This window comes from Homo sapiens, chromosome 9, assembly GCF_000001405.40.
Source record: "Homo sapiens chromosome 9, GRCh38.p14 Primary Assembly".
NCBI classification, from domain to species: Eukaryota; Metazoa; Chordata; class Mammalia; order Primates; family Hominidae; genus Homo; species Homo sapiens.
Window position 1 is genome coordinate 97,895,274 of NC_000009.12, and position 27,551 is coordinate 97,922,824.

Genomic DNA, 27,551 nt, shown 5'->3' on the forward strand with positions numbered 1-27,551 from the left:
GGGACCACTGTTGTATATGCAGCCCATTTTTGACCAAAACATTGTTATATGGTACATGACTGTATTATGCTGTAAGATGCTGGATCCTATTAAAGTCCTCTGGGGAACACTGATTTTTTTTTTTAACCTAACAATTCTTTCCAGTTAGGTTTAGACCACAAATTATGACTCACCTTCTGTGGACAGAGGTTCCAAAGTCAGTTCAGTTTTCAAAGCCATCCCCTGTCTCAGCCTCCCATTTAACACCACTTGCTTTCCCTTGGCCCATTAGTTTTAAGCATTATTTATGTCATCTTACTATATTTTTGAAGGCATTTTCATATGTGACCTTGTATCTTGGCAAAGATCAGATATTAGGCAAAGAACTAAGAAATACAAATCTCCAGCTCCAGTATGATGAGGAGGTCCCTGCCTTGAGGTCCCTGAGCGCCCTGGATAACCTGCCTATACCCTCTTGGACTCAGATCCTGCCTTGGTTCTGTCAGTTCTCTCGTATCTCAACTCCTCCCCTAATCCCAGCAGAGCCTAAACTCCCAAGTCTGTTGACAACCCTACTGCACCCCTAGCCCAGGCTCTGCTCCATCACCTGCCAACATCCCAGCCTGGCCTTTCTCCTAGGTCTGCCCACCTCTGCATCAGTACAGCCACCTTATCCAGAGGGGCACAGCCAATCTTGGACTCCAAGCCTCTCCTTTACTGTTGACTCAAGTGACTGAGCTCAGACTTCCCATTCTGACAGCGGCAAGGTCCAGTGGTAGGAAGAGCAATTCCTACCACTCATAGCCTAGCTCACTACATGCAAGTAGACAGTGAACCAGTGGGTGGAGCTGATGAGTGAGTGATCTGCAGGCAGAGACTCCAGATTGGATGAACCACACAGTTTTGGCAAGCATTGGGTCAAGGAGCTCTCTGGTGGCTCAGCCCTGCCAGCAACATCATCCACATGGGCGTCTGTCTTCTGCCTGGAGGCACAGCGCCTTATCCATAAACCTGTCTCTGGAAGAACAGAAAACGTCAGTGCACCCTCAGGGACAAAGCTGCCCAGGCTTAGCCAGTTTGCCTGTTCCAAATTGGCTCAGCTCCACAGCCAATGTATGACCTGGGTGGTTTTTGGTATTGTGATCCATATGTTATGCTCTAGGAAAAAGTAAAAATGCCTCTAACCATATTTAGTAAATGGAACAGAGGGAGGATATATAGTTATCTATTTAAATATATATGTCTTTCTTATTTATTTATTTATTTACTTATTTATTGAGATGGAGTCTCGCTCTGTCGCCCAGGCTGGAGTGCAGTGCGCGATCTCAGCTCGCTGCAAACTCCGCTTCCCAGGTTCAAGCAATTATCCTGCCTCAGCAACCCGAGTAGCTGGGATTATAGGCATGTGCCACCATGCTTGGCTATTTTTTGTATTTTTAGTAGAGATAGGGTTTCACCATGTTGGCCGGGCTGGTCTCAAACTCCTGATCTCAAGTGATCCACCTGCCTCAGCCTCCCAAAGTGCTGGGATTACAGGTGTGAGCCACTGTGCCTGGCCTAACTTATTTATTAAGATGCACTAACATATCCAATCCATTCCAGTTTGAGTTCTAGACATTTTACTTTCCTCATGTTCCACATATAAAAATAATGCATGCTTGTGATTAGACAGAAAATTCATAAGGTACTGAAGAGAATAAAGCAAAAAGTCCCCTTCTGCAGTGAGTCCCCAGAGAACCCACCCCAAGGTAACCACTGTTAGCATATTTTTGTTTATGCTTCTAGAAATTTTCCACAGATGTGCAAACATGGGTTGTATAACCTCCTCATTTTACATATATGAATGGGATATTATAATACATACTTGCCATTTATATCCTATTCATACATTTTCTCACATGGCTAAATAAATCCTTTAAAAATAAAAACAGTCTCTGACTTAGAAGCATGTGATATCCCAAAAATGTAACCTTTCTGTATGTAATAACCTTTCTGGAACTCAATATAACCTTTCTGTAAATAACCTTTCTGGAACTCACAACGAGTTTCAGAGAAATAATGTTCTAAATCAAGGAGTGGGATCAGGGGTTTTTCTGTAAAGGGCCAGATTGTGAGTATGTTCAGCTTTACCCACCAATCTCTGTCATGTCTTCTTCTCTGGGTTTTTTGTTTTGTTTTGTTTTGTTTACAATCCTTTAAAAATGTAAAGACCAATCTTAGATCTCAGGTAGTGCCAAAACAGGCTGTGGGCCAGATTTGGCCTTTGGACTATCATTTGCTGACCCCTCTTCTAAGTGGTGGTTAGGCCCACAGCTTAGCTCCCAGAAGCACAATTAATCCATAATATTACTGAGATGCCAAATAAGATAATATATTTTAAATTGCATTGTAAAGTCTATACTAATATGAAGAATTATGTAGTTTTTCAGTGTTTAGCACGTGGATAACTTTTTAAAACAAAAGTTAACATGGAATTTAAAAATGTTTTTTATATCTTGAATTGGATGAAGAGTTAGATATATTAGCAAAGAATCTCAGAATTTTCAAGCTATCTACGAGGCAGAAGATAACATTGTATTACTGCTAATCCTACTTTAAAAAATTTTTTTTAAATTTTTTTTAGATGTGGGGTCTTGCTCTGTTGCCCAGACTGGAGGACAGTGGCATGATCATAGCTTTGAACTCCTTGCAGCCTTGAACTCCTGGGCTCAAGCAATCCTTCTGCCTCAGCCTCCTGAGTAACTGGGACCATAGGCACACACCAGCACGCTTGGCTTCCTACACTTTTTGTCAACACAACATAAACACACATTAACACAAATGTGATTCTTGTGGTGTAAGCTCATATGCCAAGTGCCCCCCTCCACTGAAAAACAGAGAGTATATCACTGAGTTTTTGCACTGCGGGCATTGAAAAGGCTCTTCCTCCATTTGCTGTTCACAGCCACGTGCACTGGCCTAAACCTTGAACCTTCTGTGAATTGCATCTGCTGGAACCTACAAAGGCAGAGAAGGAGCAGAAAGGATAAGAATAGGGTAAATGCTGGAGAGTCATTTTATGACTTACCTAGATCAGGAAACTCAATTTTTTGTTTTTGTCTGAGATAGGGTCTTTGTCGCCCAGGCTGAAGTGCTGTGCCATGATCTCGGCTCACTGTAGCCTTGACTTCCTGGGCTCAGGTGATCCTCCTACCTCAGCCCCCCACCCCACTGAGTAGCTGGGACCACAGGCATGAGCCACTACACCCCGTTTTTTAATTTTGTGTTCATATATATATACATTTGTATATATACTTGTATACCAAAAAAAATTTTGTTTTAGAGACGGGCTTTTCACGTTACCCAGACTGTTCCCAAACTCCTGGCCTCAAACGATCTGCCACCCTCAGCAGCCCAAAGTGCTAGGATTACAAGCATGAGCTGCCGTGCCCCACCAGGAAACTTATTTTTTACAATATAAACATCCCTATTATATATTTAATTGAGCTTTAAAACTTATGACTTGCCCCTTCTCCATCACGGAGGTAGGGCTTGCTTCAATAACCTCACACCATGATTATAATTGCATTTTCATATATATATATACTTTTTTTTTTTTTTTTTTTTAGATGGAGACTCGCTCTGTCAGCCAGGCTGGAGTGCAGTGGTGCCATCTCGGCTCACTGCAAGCTCCGCCTCCCAGGTTCACGCCATTCTCCTGCCTCAGCCTCCCAAGTAGCTGGGACTACAGGCGCCTGTCACCACACCCGGCTAATTTTTTTATTTTTAGTAGAGACGGGGTTTCACCACGTTAGCCAGGATGGTCTCGATCTCCCGACCTCGTGATCCGCCCGCCTCGGCCTCCCAAAGTGCTGGGATTACAGGCATGAGCCACCGCACCCGGCCTATTTTCTCATAAATGAAATGCAGAGATTTTCCTGCAATACCAGGGCTAGGATTAGGAAAGAAAGTAGAAGAGAAAGCGTACTAAAAAAAACCCGTGAGCTGGTGACTGCCTGCCCGGGCAGTGAAGGTGGTTCACGGTACTGCACGTGTAACCCCAGAAAAGAAACCCAGATGAGAGGGGGAAGATGTTTTGTGGGGTAACTGAATCCTTTAGGGAGGAGCACTTTGTGATACTTCCCTTAGCAAAACATCATATTGCTTGGTAAAAATAGTCATTTTAATTTTTATGTACGTATTTATTTATTTATTTATTTATTTTGAGACAGAATCTGGCTCTGTCACCCAGGCTGGAGTGCAGTGGCACAATCTCAGCTCACTGCAACCTCCATCTCCCAAGGTCAAATGATCCTCCCACCTCAGCCTCTTGAGCCCAGCCTAAAAAAATATTTCTATAATTAAAAAGACAGGCCAGGCACGGTGGCTCACGCCTGTAATCCCAGCACTTTAGGAGGCCGAGGCAGGCAGACCACTTGAGGCCAGGAGTTCGGTACCAGCCTGGGCAACATGGCAAAACCCTGTCTCTACAAAAAATACAAAAACTACAAAAACTAGCTGGGCATGGTGGCGTGCGCCTGTAGCCCCACTACTCAAGAGGCTGAGGTGAAAAGATAGTTTGAGCCCAGGGGCAGAAGTTGTAGTGAGCTATGACTGAGCCACTGCACGCCAGCCTGGGTAACAGAGAGAGACTCTGTCTCCAAAAAAAAGAAAGAAAGAAAAAATAATTAGCTGGGCATGGTGGCAAACAGTTACTCAGGAGGCTGAGGCAGGAGGATCACTTGAGCCTGGGAGGTCAAGGCTGCAGTGAGCCGTGATTGCACCACTACACTCCAGCCTGGGCAATAGAGCAAGACTGCCTCAAAAAACAAAACAAAACAACAAAAACAGAAGCCATTCATACATTGAATTTTAGGGACCCCCTAGATCCCCCTGAAGTCTGCTTATCTAGCCAGGTAAGCCAGAACAGAGTGGTAGAAAAAGGCTATCAATGAAGAGAAACACAATAAAAATATTACCTAGGTTTATAGGTCATTGAAGAGTTCAGAAGACACTTTCCCAAGCATTATCCTGGCAACAACTCTGTAAGGTCACAGAGCTAGAGGCAGGGTGCAGTGACTTGCCTGAGGTCACGAGCTAGCCCATGGCAGGGCAGAAAGCGCTTGAAGTTTCTGAGGCCAAGCCCAGTGCTCTTCGTATTTCCCATCTTGCTTCCCAGGAGGTTCCATGCAGATCCTGTGGGAATGGGCGTTTCTGCCCTTATTCCCCTGTGCATTCTTCACGAGTGGTTGGATTTCCATGGACTTCATTCTGCCAAAGACTCATGTGCTGAATCATATGGAACTGCTGACCTTCCAATAAACCAGCATGATTTGCTAAGGCGTAGAGCCAGGCTGAGAAGGAAGAGGACTCAGGCCAGACTGGTGGGTTGGAATCCTAGCTGTGCAGCCGAGCAGCTTGAGCACGTTACTCAACCTCCACCCAATGTACGAAAAGCACATAGTCCAGTTCCAAGGACATGATAAAAGTTCAGTAAGTGATGCAGGCTTTCATTTTTATTGAGTCTTCTCTTGCTTTCTCTGGGACTGTAGCATTTTAAAAACCCTACCAACAAGAGGTTGATTCACGTCAACTTCATTTTCTTCTCTCCAAGAAAAAAAGTCACAAACACAGAAACAAAGTCAATGCCTTGTCCGTGTGTGCTCATGGGCTTAATGAGTCACCTGGTTGTGCACAGATCCACATGCTGGAATAATCAATCCCACCCCTGAAGCCAAGCTTACAATTTAAGAAAAAATTAATAAATGCCACTCATCTTTCTAATCTCTTCTCACATGTGACTGACAATCATCAGTCAGCATTGCTTGTACAAGTTACTGTTCTTTAAAGCTGGGGCAGGTGGGCCAAACGCCAAAATTACCTAAACAGCTTGAACTCCTGGTGTTTTCCTCCAAGCCAGTGAAATGGGAATAAAATCTGCTATCAAGGGCTCCCCCTACAGGCACCAAAAAGCAAAGGCTAAAAATTAAGGTGGGTGCCATTTACGCCTAGTAGAGAATTGTTTCTTCTCTTGAAAAAGTTTCTAAGGCAGTCCTGAAACCACAACTTTGCTTGTTGACACAATCCCTTTTCCAAAACTCTGGCCAAAGAGTCTTAAAAATCTAAAGGACCAAGAATCAAGCAACCTCTTCCTCTTGATGTACTCACCTCCCACTTAATAAAGGACCAAATGTGATTTTGATACAAATAGGACACAAAACGACCCTAGAGCTGTAACACTATTTTTGACAGTCATAATTATGGCACTTTTGAGTTTTCTTGTAGCTCATTTCCATCTCATTTTTAGGATTAGTGTGTATTTGTGTGTGTGTGTACATGCGTGTGTGTACATGCACGCACCAAAACAACTTCAATTCCGGACATAAAATCAATGACAGTTTTAAAACCACTTGATGGAAGGTTTGAGGGAACTTTTATCATTTATTTATTTTGTGCTACAAATCAGGTATATTTAATTCTCTGGGTTCGTGGAATGAGCTTGGATGGTTGCCTGCTCTCAAAGGCTAAAAAAAAAAAAAGCTTGGATGGATAAATAAAGTTTCCAAGACATAAAGAAACAGACAGACAGACAGCTTGTTTCAAATTTGTGCTTCTATTTCTCTCTGAGGGATGGAAGTTCACCAACCAGAGATGCACATTTCCTCACAAAGGACACTTGAAGTTGTGCCCACAGAGGCAAATGCTCATATGGAGACTCAAGAAAGCCTGGGGTTCAGAAGAGGCTTGAGATCATGTTATGAGAAACAGCTGAAGAAAACGGGGGTGCTCAGCCTAGGGAAGACCAAGGGGTGGTATGACAGGCTAACTTGGGAGGGCAACCAGCCTGTGTGGCCTCTCTAGTGGGCAGAGCTGTCGGAGGACAGAGTGGATCTCACGTTCAGGAAGAATGTTTTAATAATGAGCACTGCCCATAAAGAATAAGCTGCACAGGTCAGGGGTATATACCTCATTTAGGCAGGGCCTGGAAAGGCCAGATAGTGGGAACATTGAAGAGACTCAGGAACTGGCAGAAAACTGAGCCAGATTATATTTAACATCCTTTTTATTATTTTTGTGGGTTTTTTTTGAGACAGGGTCTCACTCTGTCGCCCAGGCTGGAGTGCAGTGGCACGATCTCGGCTCACTGCAACCTCTGCCTCCCAGGTTCAAGCGATTCTCCTGCCTTAGCCTCCCGAGTAGCTGGGATTACAGGCATGCGCCATTACCACCCAGCTAATTTTTGTATTTTAAGTAGAGGTAGGGTTTCACCATGTTGGCCAGGCTGATCACGAACTCCTGACGTCAAATGATCCACCCGCCTCCGCCTCCCAGAGTGCTGGGATTACAGGCATGAGCCACTGCGCCCAGCCTAAAATCCTTCTTAGCTCTAAAATCCTGAGACTGTATAATAAAACCCCAAACAATTTAATAGTCCTCTTGTTATAAGGCCGTTGGTTACCATCCCCCAGAGTCATTGTTAACATATTAAACAAAACATTTTGTGCTTCAAGCCCTGATGAAGCTTCAAAATAACTTTTCAAAAGAAAAAACAACAAAATCAAACTAAAGTGTAGGCTCTACCAGTGTCAACTTCCTACCTTTAACGTTTACTATAGTTATGTAAGATGGAACCAACCACTGGAAGAAGTTAAATGAAAAGCTGGGTGAAGGGTACACAGGACCTCTACTATTTCTGCAATTTCCTGTGAACCTCTGATTATTTCAAAATAAAAAGCTTTAAAAAATCAAATTAGCCCAGGCACAGTGGCTCATGCCTGTAATCCCAGCACTTTGGGAGGCTGAGGAGGGAGGGTTGCTTGGTACCAGGAGTTCAAGACCAGCCTGGGCAATGAGGCGAGACCCTTGTCTCTACAAAAAAATTTAAAAATAGTGGGGCATGGTGGCATGAGCCTGTAGACCCAGCTACTCAGGAAGGTGAGGTGGGAGGATCCCTTGAGCCTGGGAGGTTAAGGCTGCAGTGAGCTATGATCAGGCTACTGCACTCCAGCCTGGGCAAAAGCATGAGACTCATCTCTAAAAAAAAAATCAAAAACCAAAAATCAAATTAAAGATACCTCCCCAAGAAGTTCTAAGTAACATCAAAGGCAATTACAAATCAGTTTGGTTTAGGAGTACAGTGTCATCAGCCACAAATGACTCTGCACAAGTATCCACAGGCAGCAGAACTCATTTCAAAACTATTCAAGACTATTTCAATCAGCTCATTTCGATCAGCTATTAAGATTTACAATCATGATTAGGAAAGCATGTATCATGTTGACAGGTGTCTAATTTGGTTATGTTGATCATAAATCCTCAGTTATCTGGGAGCACATCATTAAAATCACCTATAGGCAATACATTCTTACAACTGTTTCCTATGTGGTACTACAGAGGATCCATGTATAATTACTGTATTTCTAAAACTATAATACAATAATTTATTTATGTCTTACTTCTTCCATTAACCATGATTGCAACAAGAACTACATCTTGTCATCTTATTTTATCACCAAAACCTAACCCATAGGTTCTCAATAAATAGTTGCAAAGTGAGTATATTAAAAAACAGTAATTATAGGCCAGGCACGGTGGCTCACACCCGTAATCCCAGCACTTTGGGAGGCTGAGGTGGGTGGATCACGAGGTCAGGAATTCGAGACCAGCCTGACCAACATGGTCTCTACTAAAAATACAAAAATTAGCCAGGCATGGTGGCGCACGCCTGTAATCCCAGCTACTCAGGAGGCTGAGGCAGGAGAATTGCTCGAACCTGGGAGGCAGAGATTGCAGTGAGCCGAGATCACGCCACTGCACTCCAGCCTGGGCGAAAGAGCAAGACTCCATCTCAAAACAAAAACAAAAACAAAAAAACAGTAACAATTTTCTTGAACTTCTGAGGGTGATTTCCTTTTCTGATACAAAGACATCCAAAGAAATCTCAGAGAGTCTCTATTTTAGAATCAGTATTAAATATATATACATATATATATGTGTGTGTGACTATGTCACAAAGTCTCTGAAACACATAAGTTTAATCTCAAAAACTATCTCTACTTGTTTTTTATTTGTTAGTTTCCTGATATAGGTTTGATTTGGAATCAAATAGAAAGGTCAGGCTTTTCCAGACAGACAGGAAAACCAATATGAATTACTGAATAGATCCCCTCAACTAGAAAGTCTCTGCTGGAATGAACTTTGTCTAATTTTATCAAGTGCACCAAGAACAGCTTCTTTCAGAAATTATCGAGACAGCATCACCTTTTGATTCTTTAATATCAACAGATCAAAAAGCATTTGGTGATTTCTCTGTATTTTATATCTCTTTGTTAAGTTTATTAATGTATACGTTTTTCAAATAAACATTTTGAACAGCCCAAATCAATCAAAGCCATGAGATCACAAAGTGTTGCTTCTCGACACAACATTAGCTTGTTCAGAAAATCCAAAAGCCACATCCAAAGATCAATGATGCTACCTTAAAGACATGAGGGAGGCTCCTTAAGACCCTAGAGACACCAAGGACCCCACAGGGCCAGTCATATGAACAGGCTCAGAAGCCGGCTTGATCCTCAGCACCTCTGCAAAGCCATCACCAAACCAGCAAGTGACATGCGCTATGTCTACAGTAAAGTAGAAAAGGCGGTCCTGGCAAAGCTTCCGGCGGTACACAGACCGAGGATCCGCTGACAGCACAGCCTCAATGGCACGCTTTGCTTCCTCTGCTGACTGAAAATATTTAAATGACGCCTGACCAACATCTGCAATGAAAAAAACACAACTTAATGAGCACTATCATGCAGGTTGAATTTAATTACAACAAACTTCAATATGGAATCTGGTTGGTTCCTTAAAGATCACTTGACATGGACAGGGTTTGGAAAACTATTTGATCATTACGGAGACTGTCACCGTCAAGAGGTGTTTATTATCATTAGGTTTAACTTGTACACCCCCAAATTTTTGTTTTACTGGACAGAAAAATCATGGTAGTATTTTTCCTTAGTCTCCTAAGACAGGTGAGCTTTCATTTTCTGTCAGCCAAGATGTCACTTTTCTGATATCCAAAATGTCACTTTTCTATACTCAATGTAGACTTTAATTCCTTGTCATTTTCTTCTCAGAACAGAGACAAGGAAATGCATGACAGTCCCAGCATCCTCAGAAAGCCACAAGAAAGAGAACTAAACCCACACACACCCAGAACACCAGCTACAGGCGAGAGAGGCTGCACCAGAAAGCTAGTATCACAGACCCGCAGTTACCAGTAACATCCCTTTGCTTTGGGACTCTCTCACATCTGTGTCCCTAAGAAACAGCAAAACTTCCTATGTTTGTAGGATTTTTAATGTATTTTATTTTTAATATGGTATGTATAAAACATAAATTTAGAAAGTAACTGTGACCTAGTTTTTCATAACTACAACATCACATACATCCAAATGCCCCTTCCAGGAAGGTACAGATCTTAAAAACACTGTCCCTGCTCAAAATATCATCTGTGGTGGCAGTGGATCTTTATCCCTCTTGGAGTGGATTTGATTTCTACAAGCAGCCAAAAATCACTGTGGGCCATATCTAATAAGCAGGTTGGGTAAATAAAGCCATGAAGTACAATTTTTAGTCAAAAATCAATTATATGGGCTGGGCACGGTGGCTCACACCTGTAATCCCAGCACTTTGGGAGGCCAAGGCAGGAGGCTCACAAGGTCAGAAATTTGAGACCAGCCTGACCAACATGGTGAAACGCCATCTCTACTAAAAATACACACACACAAAAAAATTAGCCAGGTATGGTGGCGCACGCCTGTAATTCTAGCTACTCAGGAGGCAGGAGGATCACTTGAACCCGGGAGGTGGAGGTTGCAGTGAGCCAAGATTGCACCACTGCACTCCAGCCTGGGTGACAGAAAGAGACTGTATCTCAAAAAAAAAAAAAAAAATCAATTATATGGCAATAAGGTTCCTTTACTGCATGGCTCATAGAAAATGGCTCTGAAGGCCACTCAAAAATGAGGAGAGCTCATCACACTCCCCTGTGACGGCGTTTCTGGGAGAGGCTCCAGGCCTCTGCTTGGCCGTTTATCTGGCATGGGTGCCTTCCCCCAATTCCCTGCCTACTCATCCTGCCAGGCTCAGCTCAAGCACTGTTTCCTTCCACACTCCCTCCCAGACACAAGTCAGGATTCTCCTCTCAGAGTGCCCACAGCACTCTGCCCAGACCTTTACTCCAGCACCAAACTTCCTCCCATTTCAACACCTTTAACCTCTTCTAGACTCAGAACTTCCTGAAGTCACTTCTTATTTCTGCAACAGCTCTGAATTTTGCTGTTTGCTATCAATCAGTTCCTGTTTTGTAGTTACACTGCGTAATTTCTCATTTTAATCATTTTTTTAATCAGTAAGGCATATTTCAAACATCTGACACATACTGCACTGCAGTTTAAAAAACAAAACTTTCCAGGCTGGGTGTGGTGGCTCACGCCTGTAATCCCAGCTACTCAGGAGGCTGAGGGAGGAGAATCGCTTGAACCCGGGAGGAGGCGGTTGCGGTGAGCCGAGATCGCGTCACTACACTCCAGCCTGGGTGACAGAGTAAGACTCCGTCTCAAAAAAAAAAAAAAAAAGAAAGAAAGAAAAAAGAAAAGAAAGAAAAACAAAACTTTCCATAGTAGTTTGCATTAGACAATAACCACAGGACAAGTGGTAAGCATAAAGTGTCTAGAAGGCAGGACTGTTTTGTTCCACCATAAAATCCTTTTACAACTGACCAGCCTCCTCCCATCAACTGTATACAGTGATGTAATGATTTCTATCAACAAAACTTTTAAAAATAAAAAGATCAATTTTAAAATCAAAAGCTTTGTTTAAAAGTAAAGCCTTAGGAGCCAAAGAGAAGCACAACCCTCAAGTGGCATCACCACTCATGACCACGAGACTGCCGTGTCCAGAAGTGCAGGGGGTGCCCTGCATACGGCACTTGGCTGAAGTTTGCATGTTGGGGCTAAAACCAGTTCCTGGGCCCTGGCAGGTGGCTGCCTCCACCCAGAGGAAGGGGTGGCTTTTCCTTTGCAAAAGGCAACAGTGTGGGCTGGCTGTGGCTCTGACAGGAAGAAATGGGGAAATCTCAGAGTCAGTTGGCATGTATCTCCAGTCCCAACTTTTAGACTTCTTTTTCCCATCAGAAAAACCTCCTTCAGGTTGGATTATCAAAGCCAAATACCCCCCTAGCCTCTTCATTCTCTCCCTGCTAGTAAAGCAGGGGAAAATCTAGTATCTTTGGTTGTGTAAGCCTTTATTTTCTGGATATAGAATGAAAGTCTTCATTGTCTCAATAAGGAACTCCAGCTTGCCTTTGCATGTCACTGAGGTGTGACATCCCAGAAATCACACAGGTAGTGATCTGACCCCAGAGATGGTCCCCTGCTCTCTGGGGATACGGACATCAAGTTCCTCTGCCTTTTACTTCTCCCAAGATCAAAACTCAAGTCCTTACAATGGCCTATAAAACCCTTAGGTGACCTCGTCCCTTTTCTAGTGCCTCTTTGACCTCATATCCTTCCGCTCAGCCCTCCTCAGTCCACTCTGACCACATGACCTCAAACGTGCCATGCACCCTCCACTTTGCGGCTGTGCACTGGCTGTCCCTCAGGCCAGCATGTCCTTTCTCTGGACAGGCTGGCTCATGTCTTCACCTCTTTGACCTTTGCTCATATGTGTCTTTCTCAGTGAGGCCCACTGGGGCCACCTATTTAAAATTGCAACAGGCTAGGTGCAGTGGCTCACACCTGTAATCCCTGCACTTTGGGAGGCTGAGACAGAGGATCCCCTGACCCCCAAGAGTTCAAGACAAGTCTGGGCAACAAAATGAGACCCCGTCTCTTTAAAAATTCAAAATAGGTTGGGCACGGTGGCTCACACCTGTAATCTGGACACTTTGGGAGGCCAAGGCGGGGGAATCACAAGGTCAGGAGATCGAGACCATCCTGCCTAACACGGTGAAACTCAGTCTCTACTAAAAATACAAAAAATTAGCTGGGTGTGGTGGCGGGCGCCTGTAGTCCCAGCTACTCGGGAGGCGGAGGCAGGTGAATGGTGTGAACCCGGGAGGCGGAGCTTGCAGTGAGCCGAGATCGAGCCATTGCACTCCAGCCTGGGCGACAGAGCGAGACTCCGTCTCAAAAAAAAAAAAAAAAAAAATCAAAATATTAGCCAGGTGTTGTGGTGCACACCTGTAGTCCCAGCTACACAGAAGGCTGAGGTGGGAGGACTGCTTGAGCCCGGAAGGCTGAGGCTGCAGTAAGCCATGTTCTTGCCACTGCACTCCAGTCTGGGTGACAGAGTGAGACCCTGTCTCAAAAATAAAATAAAATAGTAACAACACTCCAAGCCTGCTGTATTCTTAAATTTTTCAGTAACTCTTATCACCTTCTAATATTATATAATGTTGAATATGTTTGGTCTAATAACTTGATTGCTTATTATACTTTTAATTTGTCTCTCTCCTCCCCATTAGAATGCAAGCTCCATGACAGCAGGGGTTTTTTATATCTGTTTTGTTCACTGATGTATTCCAAGAACCTAGACCAATGTCTGGTACCTAGCAGAAGCTCAGTAAACAACTGTAGAATGAATAAATGAACTTCCCTCTTTATATGGTTATGCTGGCTCCTTACTGAGTTGTAACACAAAGAACAGCTTTTTGCAATCTGACATCTCCTTGGCAACCAGCTTCTTCTTTTTGATGGAGTCTCACTCTGTCACCCAGGCTGGAGTACAGTGGCAACATCTCGGCTCACTGTAACCTCTGCCTCCTAGGTTCAAGCAATTCTCCTGCCTCAGCCTCCTGAGTAGCTGAAATTACAGGCACCTGCCACCAAAACTGGCTTTTTGGATTTTTAATAGAGATAGGGTTTCATCATGTTGGCCAGGCTGGTCTTGAACTCCGGACCTCAAGTGATCCACCCACCTCAGCCTCCCAAAGTGCTGGGATTACAGGAGTGAGCCACCGTGCCCAGCCTGAAATTAGTTACTTCTTACTGGTATCGCTGTATCCACATCTTAACAGCCCCTTCCTTCATCCTAGGCTACTGCTTGGGATCTGCTGTGGGCTGGGGAAACCAGATAACATTTGTTAAGAACCATGTGTTAAAGTAAGCAGGCTCCATGTAAGAGCCCTGTGGCCTCTCTTCTGCAGCAAAGTGTATGCCTCTAGCAGTGGGACTTTGTTGGGGCAAGTTCTGTGCTAAGAGACTCTTCCCCTGTGACTCTGGGCTCCTAGAGTCCTCTGTGCCAGAGGCTGAGCTATCGACTACCTGACAGTCAGAATACAATGCAACATTTCTCAAGTCAGACAGTAAAACAAATAAGAAAACTTTATGTACATAAGTATAGAACAAGCACAATTTAGCTTCTGAATGATATTTGAAGACTCTAAGAACTACTGTAGCAAGTAGACAAGGGGCTGTAAGTCATAGGCCACCTTGTGAGGCAGCAGCCACTCTCTGCCAATGCTTTACTGACAGCCTGGAACTAACTGTGCTGACCACACAGTTGTCCAACAAAAGTCATCACATGATGGTACTGCAAAAATATTATTTTATACCTGTTTCCTAAAAACCAGTCATACTGACAAACACTCCACATACCTGCCTTCACAAATACCAAACTTGGCTAAATCTCAAAGTAAAAGTTCATCTCTCATTCAGAATGAAGAAACTGAAGATACCTTGTGAACTGAGCTGCCCAAGGTCCATCTCGGCATGAGGAGTAAACCGCACTTCTAAAGTGGCCACAGGAGCCTCTGTCACCCAGGCAGGAACCACGCTGCGGGGAGCTCCATCAGCCCTTCCAGCAGGGCAGTGAGGGGCCATGGGCTGTGTCTCTGCCCTGCTTCCTTGCAAGACTGCTGCTCCTTCCACTCTTTCTAGCTTCTTGTCTGTACCTTTCTCTGAAAAGCTCTTCTCTGGGCAATATGGGCCAATTTGTTCTTCTGCCACGCTGGAACTCTGATCACGTCTTGATTCCAAACCAAAATCCACTGCTATCTCCCTGTGCATAGGAAATGCTTGCTGAATTCTGGCTGTGTCACTGTGTGTCAGGTAGTTTTCTTCTGAAGTTCTGTCTTCAGGACATTTAGGTTTCCTCTTAGTGCTATGGTGGGGTTGTGGCTCATCACACCCTGAGAGCTGTCGCTGGTCACAGCTGTCAGTCTTGCTGTCAGACTGGGACACAGTGTTTGGTGTATGTTGGTTATTCTGTAAATTAAAGTCTGCTAAAGGCTCCATCACATTTTGCGGTGAGTCATACTCAGCTATGTAGGGCTTGATGTCTAGTACGGGTGTGCCATGTATCATGTCAATTCCAGAAAGGTATATAGCTCCACCTATGACATAAAAACGTGAAAAATGAAGAACAGTGCAAACACTTGGAGAATACAGTCACGCCCCAGAATCCTCTAACACTGTCTGCTTACGCCTCACTGCACTTACTCATAATTCTCTCACACAGACCTAGTACCAACACACACCCTTCTTGCTACCTGGTAGCCCATCCTCTTCTCTACCTATCAAACTCCTACTTGCTCTTTGAGGCCCTCAAAAGCACACCTTTTACAAAGCCTTTCTGGCTCCTCCAGACAAAAGCATTCTTTCCTACAGTCCCCATAGAGAAGCCTGTGCACAAACCTCTGCTAGAGCGCTTTCCCCACGGTAGGGTAGTGACCTGCTTAGAGTCTTCATCCCTAGACGCAGGCAGGCCCCTTAACACAGGCTGGGACCAACTCATCTTTGTATCACTGGTGCTTCTGTTCCAGGGATATAGTAGTCCTCAGTATATCTCTGTGGGACCAATGAAGGTTCTTACTGTGGCAAACAGATCCAAAAGTGGCCCTGTGACCCGCACCTCCTGAAGTTCATGCCCTTATATAATCCTTCCCCTTGAGTGTGACTGGCTTCTAACCAACAGAATATGGCAAAAGAGGTATGATGTCCCTCCAGTGACTATGCTTTTCATTAGCACTGCTGCTGGCTGGAAGACTCACTCGAGAGACTCTCCTTGAAGGCTTGCTGAAGTAGGCAGGCGTGCTAGGAAGCCCACATAGCAAGGAACTGCAAACAGCCTTTAGACACTGAGGGCAGCCTCCAGCCAACAACCAGCAAGAATCTGGGGCCCCCAGTCCTACTACGATGGCAAGGAAATCAATGTGGCCAACAGTCTGAGTGAGCTTAAGCAGATTCTTCCATGGTCAAGCCTCCAGATAAGAACTCATATCAGCTGACAATTTAATTGCAGTCTAGTGAGACCTAAGCAGATGACCTAGTTAAGCTGTGCCCATCCTTCTGACCCACAGATACATAATAATGTTTCAAACACATAATACATGTGTGTTGTTTAAACTGATGATTCTGTGGTAATTTGTTACACAACAATAGAAATCTAATACATCCATCAAGACTCAAAAGATTAAGCAGCACATAAGTCAGCATTACCAAATACTAAAGACAAGTCTCCAGCTGTCCCACTGGACAGATGCTGTCCAGTTACTGCTACAAATAGCCATCTACTAACCTTACTCTTGGAAAATAGGCCAAATGAGAACAGAAAAACTACATGCAGTCACATTTGATTCCGTCTCCATTTAAGAAAAACGTAACTAATACAGGACCCTGATTTCTGAAACATGTTATTATGAATGAGCTGGAACTCTGGAAAGATGATTCTGGACTTGCTAGATGATGAATTATGCCTAACAATATCTGTAGGAAAAAGAAAGGCACTGTAGCATAAGTAAGACTTCAAAGGATTTAGAGTCAGATGACCACCTGGCTGGATGCTATTAGACAGATTATCTAATCTTAAAGAGCCCTAGTTTCCTCACCTATGAGATGAGGATTGCTACTTTGTCAAACCCACAAAGCCACTGTGAGATAAGGTACGTGAACACTGTTTACTAACTGTAAAGCACTGCACAAACACTAGTTGCCATAAAGCTTATATAGTAATGTCTACAGTGCTACTGTGTTTGCCTTTTAACCTATCTGACTTGACCTTCCCAATTGAAACATTAAGTTCTTTAGGGCATGGATTTCTACTTTCATCTGATTTGTTTATCACTATAGCTCTAGCACCTAGGACAATGTCTGGCACATATTCAGTGCTAGAAAATATGTCCCTGAATAATCATAAAATCTTCTAGTACTTGCTATCCAAGTTTGTTAGCCATTACAAATTGATAAAATTCAAGGTGGATCAGCTACTGAATTTTTCTGAGAAAACTACCTAAGGCCCAGTTGAGTACAATCCAGTGGGAGAGTTCAAGTTCTGGGAAAGAACAAGCAAAATAACTGCTCTCATCTATTTAGTGTCCAATAGCCTGAAAAAGTAGTTTTAGAACTTCTCTCTTACAAGATTCTCAAAATATTCTGTGGAATCACAGAGGAAGCAGGTCCTTCTCCTTTGCCCACTTCACAACCAGCAGGCTGAAGCCTGGAATGGTCTCTTGACTCCTAGTTTACCTGCCATTTCATCTGCTGCCTCTATAACAAATGCATCTGTTAGGTCAGAATGGAATGCTTTCCATAAATGCGTAACTAGGTTATATACGAACACACAGTTAAAACTAGTTTAAAACTTCTACAACCTGACCAATGTTTGTCCTTGTAGTGTGATTCATCCCAGACTCCTGCCACACAGCACAGTTGACATCAGCACTGCAGCCATGATATCTGTCCATTTCCCCAAGGCTGCAAGGAAGGAATGATATACCACCAGTCTATGTGTTTTCCATATGTGCATGTACAATGAGTTATTGTGTGTTAAATTGGAAAGTGTCCATTTATTTTTAATCATTTTGTATTTACTGCATTCCAAGTCAGAGAAACTTTGGTTACTAATTTAATGATTGTGAAATTTGTGTTATTTCTAAATAATTTAATAGTTTTGGATATATGCAATAATATAAACAAGCTCTGAGCATCCTATGAGTTTATTTCAACATTTTTCAATGCTAACATTCTTTTAATCATTGTATTTTCTTCAATGTCTGGTGGTTCTCAGGAGTTAACATCATTGGTACTCGTCTGAATAAACAGCCAGTGGTGAATGCTGTTTATTTTATAAGGCTTTTTTGGGTGAGGAAAAAGGTAAAAGTAGAAATGAAATGGGTTACCTTCTACCTTTTCCAGCTTGGCCAGGGTCAGTCCTATTGCATTGGGACGATGAGGGCTCCTTGTGGAAAAAACTCCAGTCTTTGCACCATTCAGCCTAGGAGGCTGCACTTTTGCCTTACAGCTCAAATGACCATTTTTGTGAAAAACAAACAAAATCCTATAGAAAACAAAACAAAACAAACCACGGAATAAGAAAAGAGCACAAGTTATTTTACCACAATGATCTGATGGGGAAAAAAATGCAATCTCCCACAAATTAACAGAAATCATGTTTTAAATAGTATTAACTTGTCATCTGGTAGGAAGAAAATAACACCATCCCCTTTCCTTAAAGGAAGAGACAGAATCTCATCTCCACATCCTTTGCAGCTAACACAACAACTGGCACACAGTAGGAACTTGAGAGACGTTTATCAAGTGCCCAACAAACAATATTTACTAAGTGTCTGCTGTTTGCCAGGTAGTACGGTAAAACATTTTTACACTCATTTCATACAATCGCCTTAACTGTCTTAAGTAATATAATTTATCCCCCATTTTTGGGATGAGGAAATTGAAGTTCAGAAATGTTAAATACCTTTACCAGACCTTCCTTTCTTTTTCCATTTGGCATGACTAGACCTTCCTAAAAAAGATACAAAACCAAGAAGCCAAGAAGAAAAACTAACAGATTTGAACTCATGAAATCATTACATTTATGTACTACAAAATGTCAGCCTAAGAGAAAACGTTTGCTACATACATAATGGACCATAGGTTAATATCTGTGGCACACAAATTGTTCCTACAAATTACTAAGGACAACCCAATATAGGACACTATGCAAAGAACATGAATAAGTAATTCACAAAAAAATGGCAAGTAGCTAAGAACCATATGAAAAGATGTTGAGCTTCACTAATAATTAGAAATTTCTAAATTTAGAAATTAAACTAAAAATCCAAAATACTCTTTTTCCCCATCAGGCAAAAATGTAAAAAACTGATAACATATTGTGTTGGGAAGGGTGTAAGAAAAAGGTCATTTGCATATATTATTGAAGTATACATTGGTTAATTTTAGAGGATAATTTGGAAGTAGTTCCCCAAAATTCTAAATATGCTTACCTTCTAACCCAATATATCCACTTCTGATATCCTGTTCATAAAAATACATAAGTGGCCAAGAATGTGTCTAAGGGGGTTTGTCACAGTTATTATAACAACAACATAGCCCTCCATTAACAAGAGTGTGTATATTACAAAATATACATCTATATTTTGTAATAATAGACAGCTATTAAAGAAAAAAAAGGTAAATCTACTGTCGTGAAAGTTCTCCATGGTATATACTGTTATGTGAAGAAAACATACTTTTTTAAAAAAAGCAAATACCCACTCTGTATGTATATATTTGTTTCTATGTGTACTTGAAAAAGAAAAAATTAAAAGGTCTGGCAGGATCTACACCATGCTGTTAACAGTAATAAGCTCTGATGAGTGGTTGGGGTTAGGGAGAGAGGGGAGGAAAATAGGAGGGATAAGGAAAAATCTCTTTATATACTTCTGAACCCATTTTTTCCATCATCAATGTTTTTAACTTAAATAATTCAATCAGGATCATAATACAAACTAGGTCAGAACATACATTTTCTTTCTAATCTACTCTTGTCCCCAAATTGACATGAAAAATAAACTATTTCAGAATATACACTTAATTTTTAGGTCTCTACCAATAAAAATAGACCGATTCAGACTGCTGATGCTGGGGTGAGGAAGAATGAACACGGACAGAATTTGAAATGACAACAAACAATGCTAGTATAACACAGGCCCTAATATAGGTAACACTTAAAGTATCCAGATTTCTACAGTGTCTTGTCTTTTAGGAGTATACTTAATTCTACATGAGTCTAGAGCAGGATCTGCAAACTTTTTCTGTAAAAGGTCAGAGAGTAATATTTTAGGACATGCAGGCCAACCAGTCACTATAGAGACTATTCAACTCTGCTGCTATAGCACGAAAGCAGCCACAAACAATACTTAAACAAATGGATATGACTTTGTTCCCATAAAAATAATTTACAAAAATGGGCCATAGTTTACTGACCCCTGGTCTAGAGGGTAGAATAATGACCCAGGGGCAGAGTCAAGGAGGTCTATAATTTCCACTCAACAGAAGGCATTCATCACCATTAGAACCAACTGCAAATGGAACATGTCACCTCAGTGGATCCCAAGCTTCCCTGAGGATCTCTAAATGACACAGATAATCATATGCACAAATACAGTACAAAATTCCATACAACAGGCTGGTTCAAAGGTAATGAGTTATCTCAATTGATTGTTCACAGTCAGTTACAGATTGAACTTTTTGTTCTACTTTTCCCCTCTTCTCACTACTGCACTTGTCTTAAAAAATAAAAAAAAATAAAAAAGCCATGCAAAAGATGAGAGTTCCAGCCTGGGCAACATGGTGAAACCCCATCTCTACCAAAAATACAAAAAAGAATTAGCCAGGCATGGTGGCATACACCTGCGGTCCCAGCTACTCAGGAGGCTGAGGTGGAAGGATACCTTGAGCTCGGGAGGCAGAGGTTACAGTGCGCTGCTATTGCACCACTGTACTCCAACCTGGGTGACAGAGACCCTGACTCAAAAACAAAACAAAACAAAGATGAGGGTGGTCTGGATGGCAGACTCCAAGGTTGCCTTCAACTAGAGTACTTTATTCGGGGGCAAGTTCTGGCCCAAAATCCTACATCTAACTATAAAGCAACTTACCAAACATGAGAAAACTGTTCTAGGCCCATCAAGGAATGTTCAGGATTATTAAAGATCCTCTTTCTAATCCTCAAACAGGCTCGAGAATAGCTACAAATGGATGGCTGTCTTGGAGTACCATTCTTGGCCGAGAAACAAGATTCCAAGTAGCCGACTGGCTCAGTTAAAAGATTCCCTACAGGAGAAAATTAGGTAAAAAGTTATTAGTCAAAAGGTCAAACCAAGTTGTAAGAAAACATGTTTTCTCTAATGCATTGGTTTCATAGTTTTAAAATCTTAGTGTCGTGCAACTATAAAAATGATTTTTATAGTATTCATGAATACGTATAAGTATTCTCATCATTACATACACACACATACACATACATCATTACATACATAGTAATATCCCTTTAGATATACTAGAAAGAATAATGGTCCAAGAAAGAAAGAATGAAAGTAAGGGGGCATTTTCAGAATACCTACTATGACCATAATTAAAATTCTATGCTACCAATACTAAGTCATGTGACTCTGGCCAGGGCTATGAGCGTATTTCTTTCTTTTTTTTTTTTTTTTTTGAGATGGAGTCTCGCTGTGTTGCCCAGGCTGGAGTGCAGTGGCCCGATCTCGGCTCACTGCAACTTCTGCTTCCCGGGTTCAAGCATTTCTCCTGCCTCAGCCTCCCCAGTAGCTGGGATTACAGGCGCCCACCACCACGCTCAACTTTTTTTTTTTTTTTTGTATTTTTAGTAGAGATGGGGTTTCACCATATTGGTCAGGTTGGTCTTGAACTCCTGACCCGCCCACCTTGACCTCCCAAAGTGCTGGGATTTTTAGTAGAGACGGGGTTTCACCATATTGGTCAGGCTGGTCTTGAACTCTTGATCCACCCACCTCAACCTCCCAAAGTGCTGGGATTATAGGCGTGAGCCATAGTGCTTGGCCTATGAGGGTATTTCTAATAGAGGAGAGAGTGTACACAAAAGTAAATGAGAAATGTCATAGCATATGCAGGGAACAAGCTATTTTGATTGGCTGGAGTATGAAATAAGAGGCAGAGAATAATGAAAGATGAGGAAACACTGGGTATACATAAGTAAGGATATCTTCAATTGAAAGCAACAGAACATATGAAATAAACTAATTTAAGCAATAAAGAGAGCTTATAAGCTCATAGTGCTAAAATATCTAGAGGCAAGGTAAATTTCAAGTTAGGCTTGGTCCAGTAGCCTACTGCCCCTCTAGAATGTAAGCTCCATGTGGGCAGTTTTTCTGTCTCATTTATCGCTGCATTCTCATTGTCTAGTACATTGCCTGCAACGGAGTAGGTACTCAAAAAATTCATGTTGCATAGAAGAAAAGATCATATATGTCTAAACTGATTAATGTGGAAATTGAAAAAGTAAAATAATAATATATATAATATAATCCCACTTATGGAAATTTGTTACATATTTACCTTCTTAAACACATACAGGTATGTTTGGAAAGCTATCTGGAAGGATATGCACCACATGCTGTGTTTTATTTTTTGTTTGTGTTTGTTTTTTTGAGACAGAGTCTTGCTCTGTTGCCCAGACTGGAGTGCAGTGGCACAATCTCGGCTCACTGCAATCTCCACCTCCCAGGCTCAAGCGACTCTCGTGCCTCAGTCTCCCAAGTAGCTGGGATTATAGGCACGCACCAACATGCCCATCTAATTTTTTTTTTTTTTTTTGTAGAGAAGGGGTTTTACCATGTTGGCCAGGCTGGTCTTAAACTCCTGACCTCCAGCAATCTGCCCATCTCGGCCTCTCAAAGTGCTAGTATTACAGGTGTGAGCCACCACACCTGGCCAATATTCACCAATTTTTTTAACAGTGGTTAATCTGGGTGGTGAGATTTTTTAATTACCTTTAAATTTAACTTCGTAATTTCTATAATATTTGAAGTTTTTTCAATAATCACAAATTAGGCCAGGCGCGGTGGCTCACGCCTGTAATCCCAACACTTTGGGAGGCTGAGGTGGGCAGATCACCTGAGGTCAGGAGTTCGAGACCAGCCTGGCCAACATGGTGAAACCCCATCTCTACTAGAAGTACAAAAAAAAAAAATAATTAGCCAGGCATGGTGGTGCATGCCTGGAGTCCCAGCTACTCAGGAAACTGAGTCAGGAGAAGCACTTGACCCTGGGAGGCAGAGGTTGCAGTGAGCCAAGATCACGCCACTGCACTCCAACCTAGGTGAGCGAGACTCCATCTCAAAAAAAAAAAAAAATCACAATTTTTTTAAGTAATAACATATTTCAAAAGAAAAAAAATGGCCAGACACTATCAATATAAAGTCCAAGGTTTCCATGGCTACCACTTTGAATTTATTGATAACTTTTTTATTATTCTCACATTTCATGACAGCGTTATCAATTTCTGAGAGATGATATAAAGACACTTCAGACTTTATTTCCTGCTTCCTTAAATCTACCCTACCAGCATAAGCAGTAAGACTATAGGTCTGGGGCTGTCCCTCACAGTATCTTTCATTACTCTTCACTTCTAGAAGCTACTTTATTTGATATATATAAATATCATATGCAACATACATGTAAGTTATACGGCATAATATGATGAAACCCCGTGTATACACCACCCATCCCAAAAACTAGAGCGTTACTAACGACTTGTTCTTTTTAGGTTGTTTTTCTCTTACCTCACACCCTTCTTTTCCCTCTGAGATAAACAGAAGCCTGAATTTGATCTTTATCATTCACTTCCTTTTAGAGAATGATTTTGTTACATGTACATGCATGCCTAAACAGTATTTCATTGATTTTTGTCTTTAAGATCTATAAAAACTGGCACCAAACTGTAAGTTGTCTTCTCAGACTTGCTTTTTCTCTCTCAATATTATGAGGCTAAGATCCATACATACTCTGTATGTTTTTGACAACTTTAATTTTTGTTCAAGTATGTTTACAGGCATTGTTTTTAGTTTTTTGTTTTTTCTTTTTAATCCTCATCCATGCTTCTATGGAACAGATATAGTAGACATCTTAAAAATGAAGAAACTGAGGCCAAACGACCTGGCATATCTTCTTTATGTCTGGAAGATAAATGGCCAAAAAAGACCCCTAGCCCAGCCACAAAATCCCTGTGTCTTCTTTTCATTTGTTCAAGAAACATTTTCTGGCTGATACTCTGGGCACACTGCCCATGAGTTAGCTCTGCTCCACAAAGAGAAGAAAAAAAAAAGAAAGAAAGAAAAGAAAAGAAAAGAGAAAAGAAAAAGGAAAGAAAAGAAAGGAAAGGGAGGAAAGGGAAAGAAAGGAAAGAAAAGAAAAGAAAGAGAGAAACACTATTTTCCAAGTGTCTACAATTGCCAGACATTGTGTTAAGTTTGGAGAAAAGATACAAACCAAGAACTCTTACTACAGTGGAATTTAATAGTTGAGGAGACTATCACACCATGCTTCAATATCATGGGAAATGTCCTGTCAGCAGTAAAGTAATCAAAGACTTCTGCCCTTGACTCTTTGATTTGGGGCCTAGGAATTTATATTATAGCTGATTTATCACTTCACTAAATCAGTCTATGCCTGTTTTTCACAGATTACACATATGATATGATAAATATAAGTGGCTGCCAATTAGATTTACTTCTATCCTCTAATTAGATTTACTTCTATCCTCTTTGTGCATCTCCTTAAGAACATAAGCAAGACAACACTGGATTAGCAATGAACTGGAAGTATACTCAAGAGCTACTTTGAAAGAGTTCTTCTAACTCTGCTACTCTAAAATGTTTGGGACCACTCTCAAAATACCAAATATCCATATCCTAGTACGTCTGAACTCTTCTGGGACATATTTATACATTCTCTGTGCCCTCCTGGGGATAATGCTATGAAATATAAATGCTATTTGAAGCAGAGACCTGACACCGTTTGCCAAGGGGAATTCTGGTCTTCTTCTTCTTGCCTATCTCAAAACGACAACAACAAAAACCCAAAAGAACAGTAAACACCTACCATTTTGGTAAGCACTGTGCTAAGGACTTGGGGTACAAATATGAACCAGTTCTCGTCCTCAAGGGTTTCCAGTACATTGACAGAGAAAGACAAGTAAATCAACAATTCTAGCTAGGTGCCTTTGCAGGGATAGAGATAAATAAGCACAGGTATGACAAAAACCAGCACAAGAACCTCATGGAAATGGGGAGAAGTGGTTCCTCAAAGGAGCATGAGAGAATTAGGACTGGTTTCAGAATGGAGAAAGGATAAAAACAACACAGGGCCACTACACTAGCTGTGTGACCATGGGAAAAACTAGCTTCTCTCTCTGAATCCGTTTTCTCATCTATAAAACAAGGGATACTACCTACTTTGGAAAGCTGTAAAAGTACTAATAAAATAGGAAAGCATCCAATAAAATAGAAGGTGCCCAGCAAGGAGTGCTTTTTAAAGTCCCTGCTCAGGCTTTTTCCTCATTTAAACATTACAACTGTATTAACTGTGTAATAAGTAAAAAGCCAGCAAGCAATCAATGTGGGGTTTTTTGTGTACAGGATTGTCTACACGTCTTGCTCTGAAAATAAGTTCAGGTCCTTTTCATTTCCACCTGTACTATTAAATTACCCTTCTTAGGCTTTCTGTCCCCACTGCAAGTTCTTCCCCTTCTCAAAATACTCTAGACGAATCCTCAACACTCCTAGAGTTTCTTGTGTTATGCTAACTCTTTAACTTTAAACTTTTCATATTCTCCACTGTTAACAGACTTTGTATTTCTTAGCCTGGTACTCAAGTTTCTTCACAATCAGAATCCAAAGGTTCCCACCTCCCTGTTCCATCCAACACTTTAGACTTCTAGCTCCCCAAACCTATACTGTGTAGACTTCTGAGCCCTGGCTTCTGCGTTTTCCTTCCTGTCAAAATATGAGACCTGTAATCGGCAGTGTGCAACAATTTTTTTTAAATAAGCACATTTGGCCAGGTAATAGCACTTCCAAGAAATTTAACAAAGTTCAAACTTTAGAATGTACACAAACATTTCGGCTTCAAGAGCTTTCTTTTAGAACAATGCAAACTGGCAATAACTTAAATGCTCAGTAACAGGAAGCTGGTTAAATTAGAGCACATATCTAAAACAAAGCGTTAGGCTGGTTGCAGTGGCTCATGCCTGTAATCCCAAAACTTTGGGAGGCTAAGGCAGGTGGATTGCTTAAGCCCAGGAGTTTGAGACCAGCCTGGGCAACACGGTGAGAGCTTGCCTCTACAAAAATTAATAATAACAAAACAAAGTGTTAATTTTTTTTTTTTTTTTTTGAGACGGAGTCTCGCTCTGTCGCCCAGGCCGGAGTGCAGTGGCGCGATCTCGGCTCACTGCAAGCCCGCCTCCCGGGTTCATGCCATTCTCCTGCCTCAGCCTCCCGAGTAGCTGGGACTACAGGAGCCCACCACCACGCCCGGCTGATTTTTTTGTATTTTTTAGTAGAGACGAGGTTTCACCGTGTTAGCCAGGATGGTCTCGATCTCCTGACCTCGTGATCCGCCCACCTCGGCCTCCCAAAGTGCTGGGATTACAGGCATGAGCCGCTGCGCCCGGCCCAAAGTGTTATAATTAACATTAACTGCCCTGTTAAGATTTTTTTTTAAATTATTTTAACGTTACTAAACAGGTCGTATAGTACCTCACTTTCCAAGTGTGTATGCAAAGAAACAAGCGTGGAAGGTAGACACCAAGATATTGACAATGGCTTTCTCTGGCAGGTTATTTTAATTTTCTTCCATTTGCTTTCCAGTTTCTAAAGCTAATATATTCCTCTATGAAAACGTGTGAGTAAAGAGAAACAAATTCATGCCTTGTCTTTCTAGGCCCAATTTAAAACTATTTTCTCCCCCAGAAACTTTCCCCCTTCTCTGTCCTCATTCCTACAGCGCAGGATGCCTCTCTATGGCATTTATTAATTCCTAACCCGCCTAACACCATCTCCCATACGCTATGGCAAGGAAACCCCTAAGAGAAAAGCCCCTACGCTGCACGTAGCTGCTCCAGCTACTGAGCCAAGACTACGCAGACAGTACAAGTCTTATAACAAAGCGGAACAAGCCAGATGACGTCATCCCGCTCGCCAAAGCACATCACGTGGTCTCCGCAGCACGTGACCCGTGCCTTCGCCGTAGGTAAAAGAATGACGCACGTCAGTTCCAGATCGTGCGTTTTACACCCCTCTCGGCAACGAAGTCCGCTGCCTGGGCCTAAACCTCTCCAGAGTGTGGCACCGCCGGTGTTGGAAGTTACCTGTCTCCAGAGCCGGCTTAACGCAGCCGCACGGGGTCGCTGTAGGCCGAGGCCCCGACTCCTCCAAGCCGCGCATGGCTACTGGTTGCTGAGGTGCCCACCCGACGCATTCAACCTTCCGCTTCCGCTCTCCATGCCTGACGCATGCGCAGTGGCCTCGCCGGCGAGGTCCCGCGAACCCAGGAGAATGTGCGCGCGCAGGGTGGCGTTGAGGGAAGCTTTGAGTTCTCCATGGGGCTTCGAACCCTATCCCGGGCGTGTGCCCCTCCGGGACCCCAATCTCGTTTATCTTACACACAGCTGCTACAGTTGCCCGCCCTCCTAGGGTAGAATGCGACTCCGGCTTCCCGCGCTTTTTGAGAGGGAACACACCTCCATGAAGAACTCGCAACTATGTCTCTCTCGAA

General features: G+C 42.3%; 1 protein-coding gene across 9 annotated transcripts, besides 1 other annotated feature; it reads right to left on the reverse strand.

Annotated features, from left to right (window-relative positions):
• Positions 1-1,581: 1,581 nt before the first annotated feature.
• TRMO (tRNA methyltransferase O) lies at positions 1,582-27,227 on the reverse strand. 9 transcript variants are annotated; one of them, NM_001371657.1, is made up of 6 exons: positions 27,145-27,227; positions 20,891-21,065; positions 18,128-18,285; positions 14,687-15,343; positions 9,437-9,719; positions 1,582-2,976 (listed from the first exon to the last, which is right to left on the reverse strand). In NM_001371657.1, exons 1-5 carry the CDS (start codon positions 27,218-27,220, stop codon positions 9,460-9,462), a joined length of 1,326 nt encoding a protein of 441 aa, NP_001358586.1. In that variant the 5' UTR covers positions 27,221-27,227; the 3' UTR covers positions 1,582-2,976; positions 9,437-9,459. The 9 variants fall into 9 exon arrangements, with proteins under 9 accessions (NP_001358586.1, XP_011517078.1, NP_001358587.1 ...); NM_001330725.2 differs by lacking the exon at positions 1,582-2,976 and adding an exon at positions 17,600-17,702 and having other exon boundaries at positions 9,216-9,719; XM_011518776.4 differs by lacking the exon at positions 9,437-9,719.
• Positions 26,830-27,279: an enhancer, noted in NCBI's record as "active region_28679". NCBI's record gives its function as "activates an Ori minimal core promoter by ATAC-STARR-seq in GM12878 lymphoblastoid cells {active_cell/tissue: GM12878}" and the evidence as "EXISTENCE:reporter gene assay evidence [ECO:0000049][PMID:35858748]".

Bases quoted from the DNA above. Each gene is read 5' to 3' on its own strand.
- TRMO (NM_001371657.1), bottom strand. From the start codon at position 27,220: ATGCGCGGCTTGGAGGAGTCGGGGCCTCGGCCTACAGCGACCCCGTGC. The intron at 21,066-27,144 runs GTAACTTCCAAC...TTTCTCCTGTAG, and splicing joins TAAGCCGGCTCTGGAGACAG to GGAATCTTTTAACTGAGCCA. The intron at 15,344-18,127 runs GTAACCCATTTC...TTTATGTCATAG, and splicing joins CAAGCTGGAAAAGGTAGAAG to GTGGAGCTATATACCTTTCT.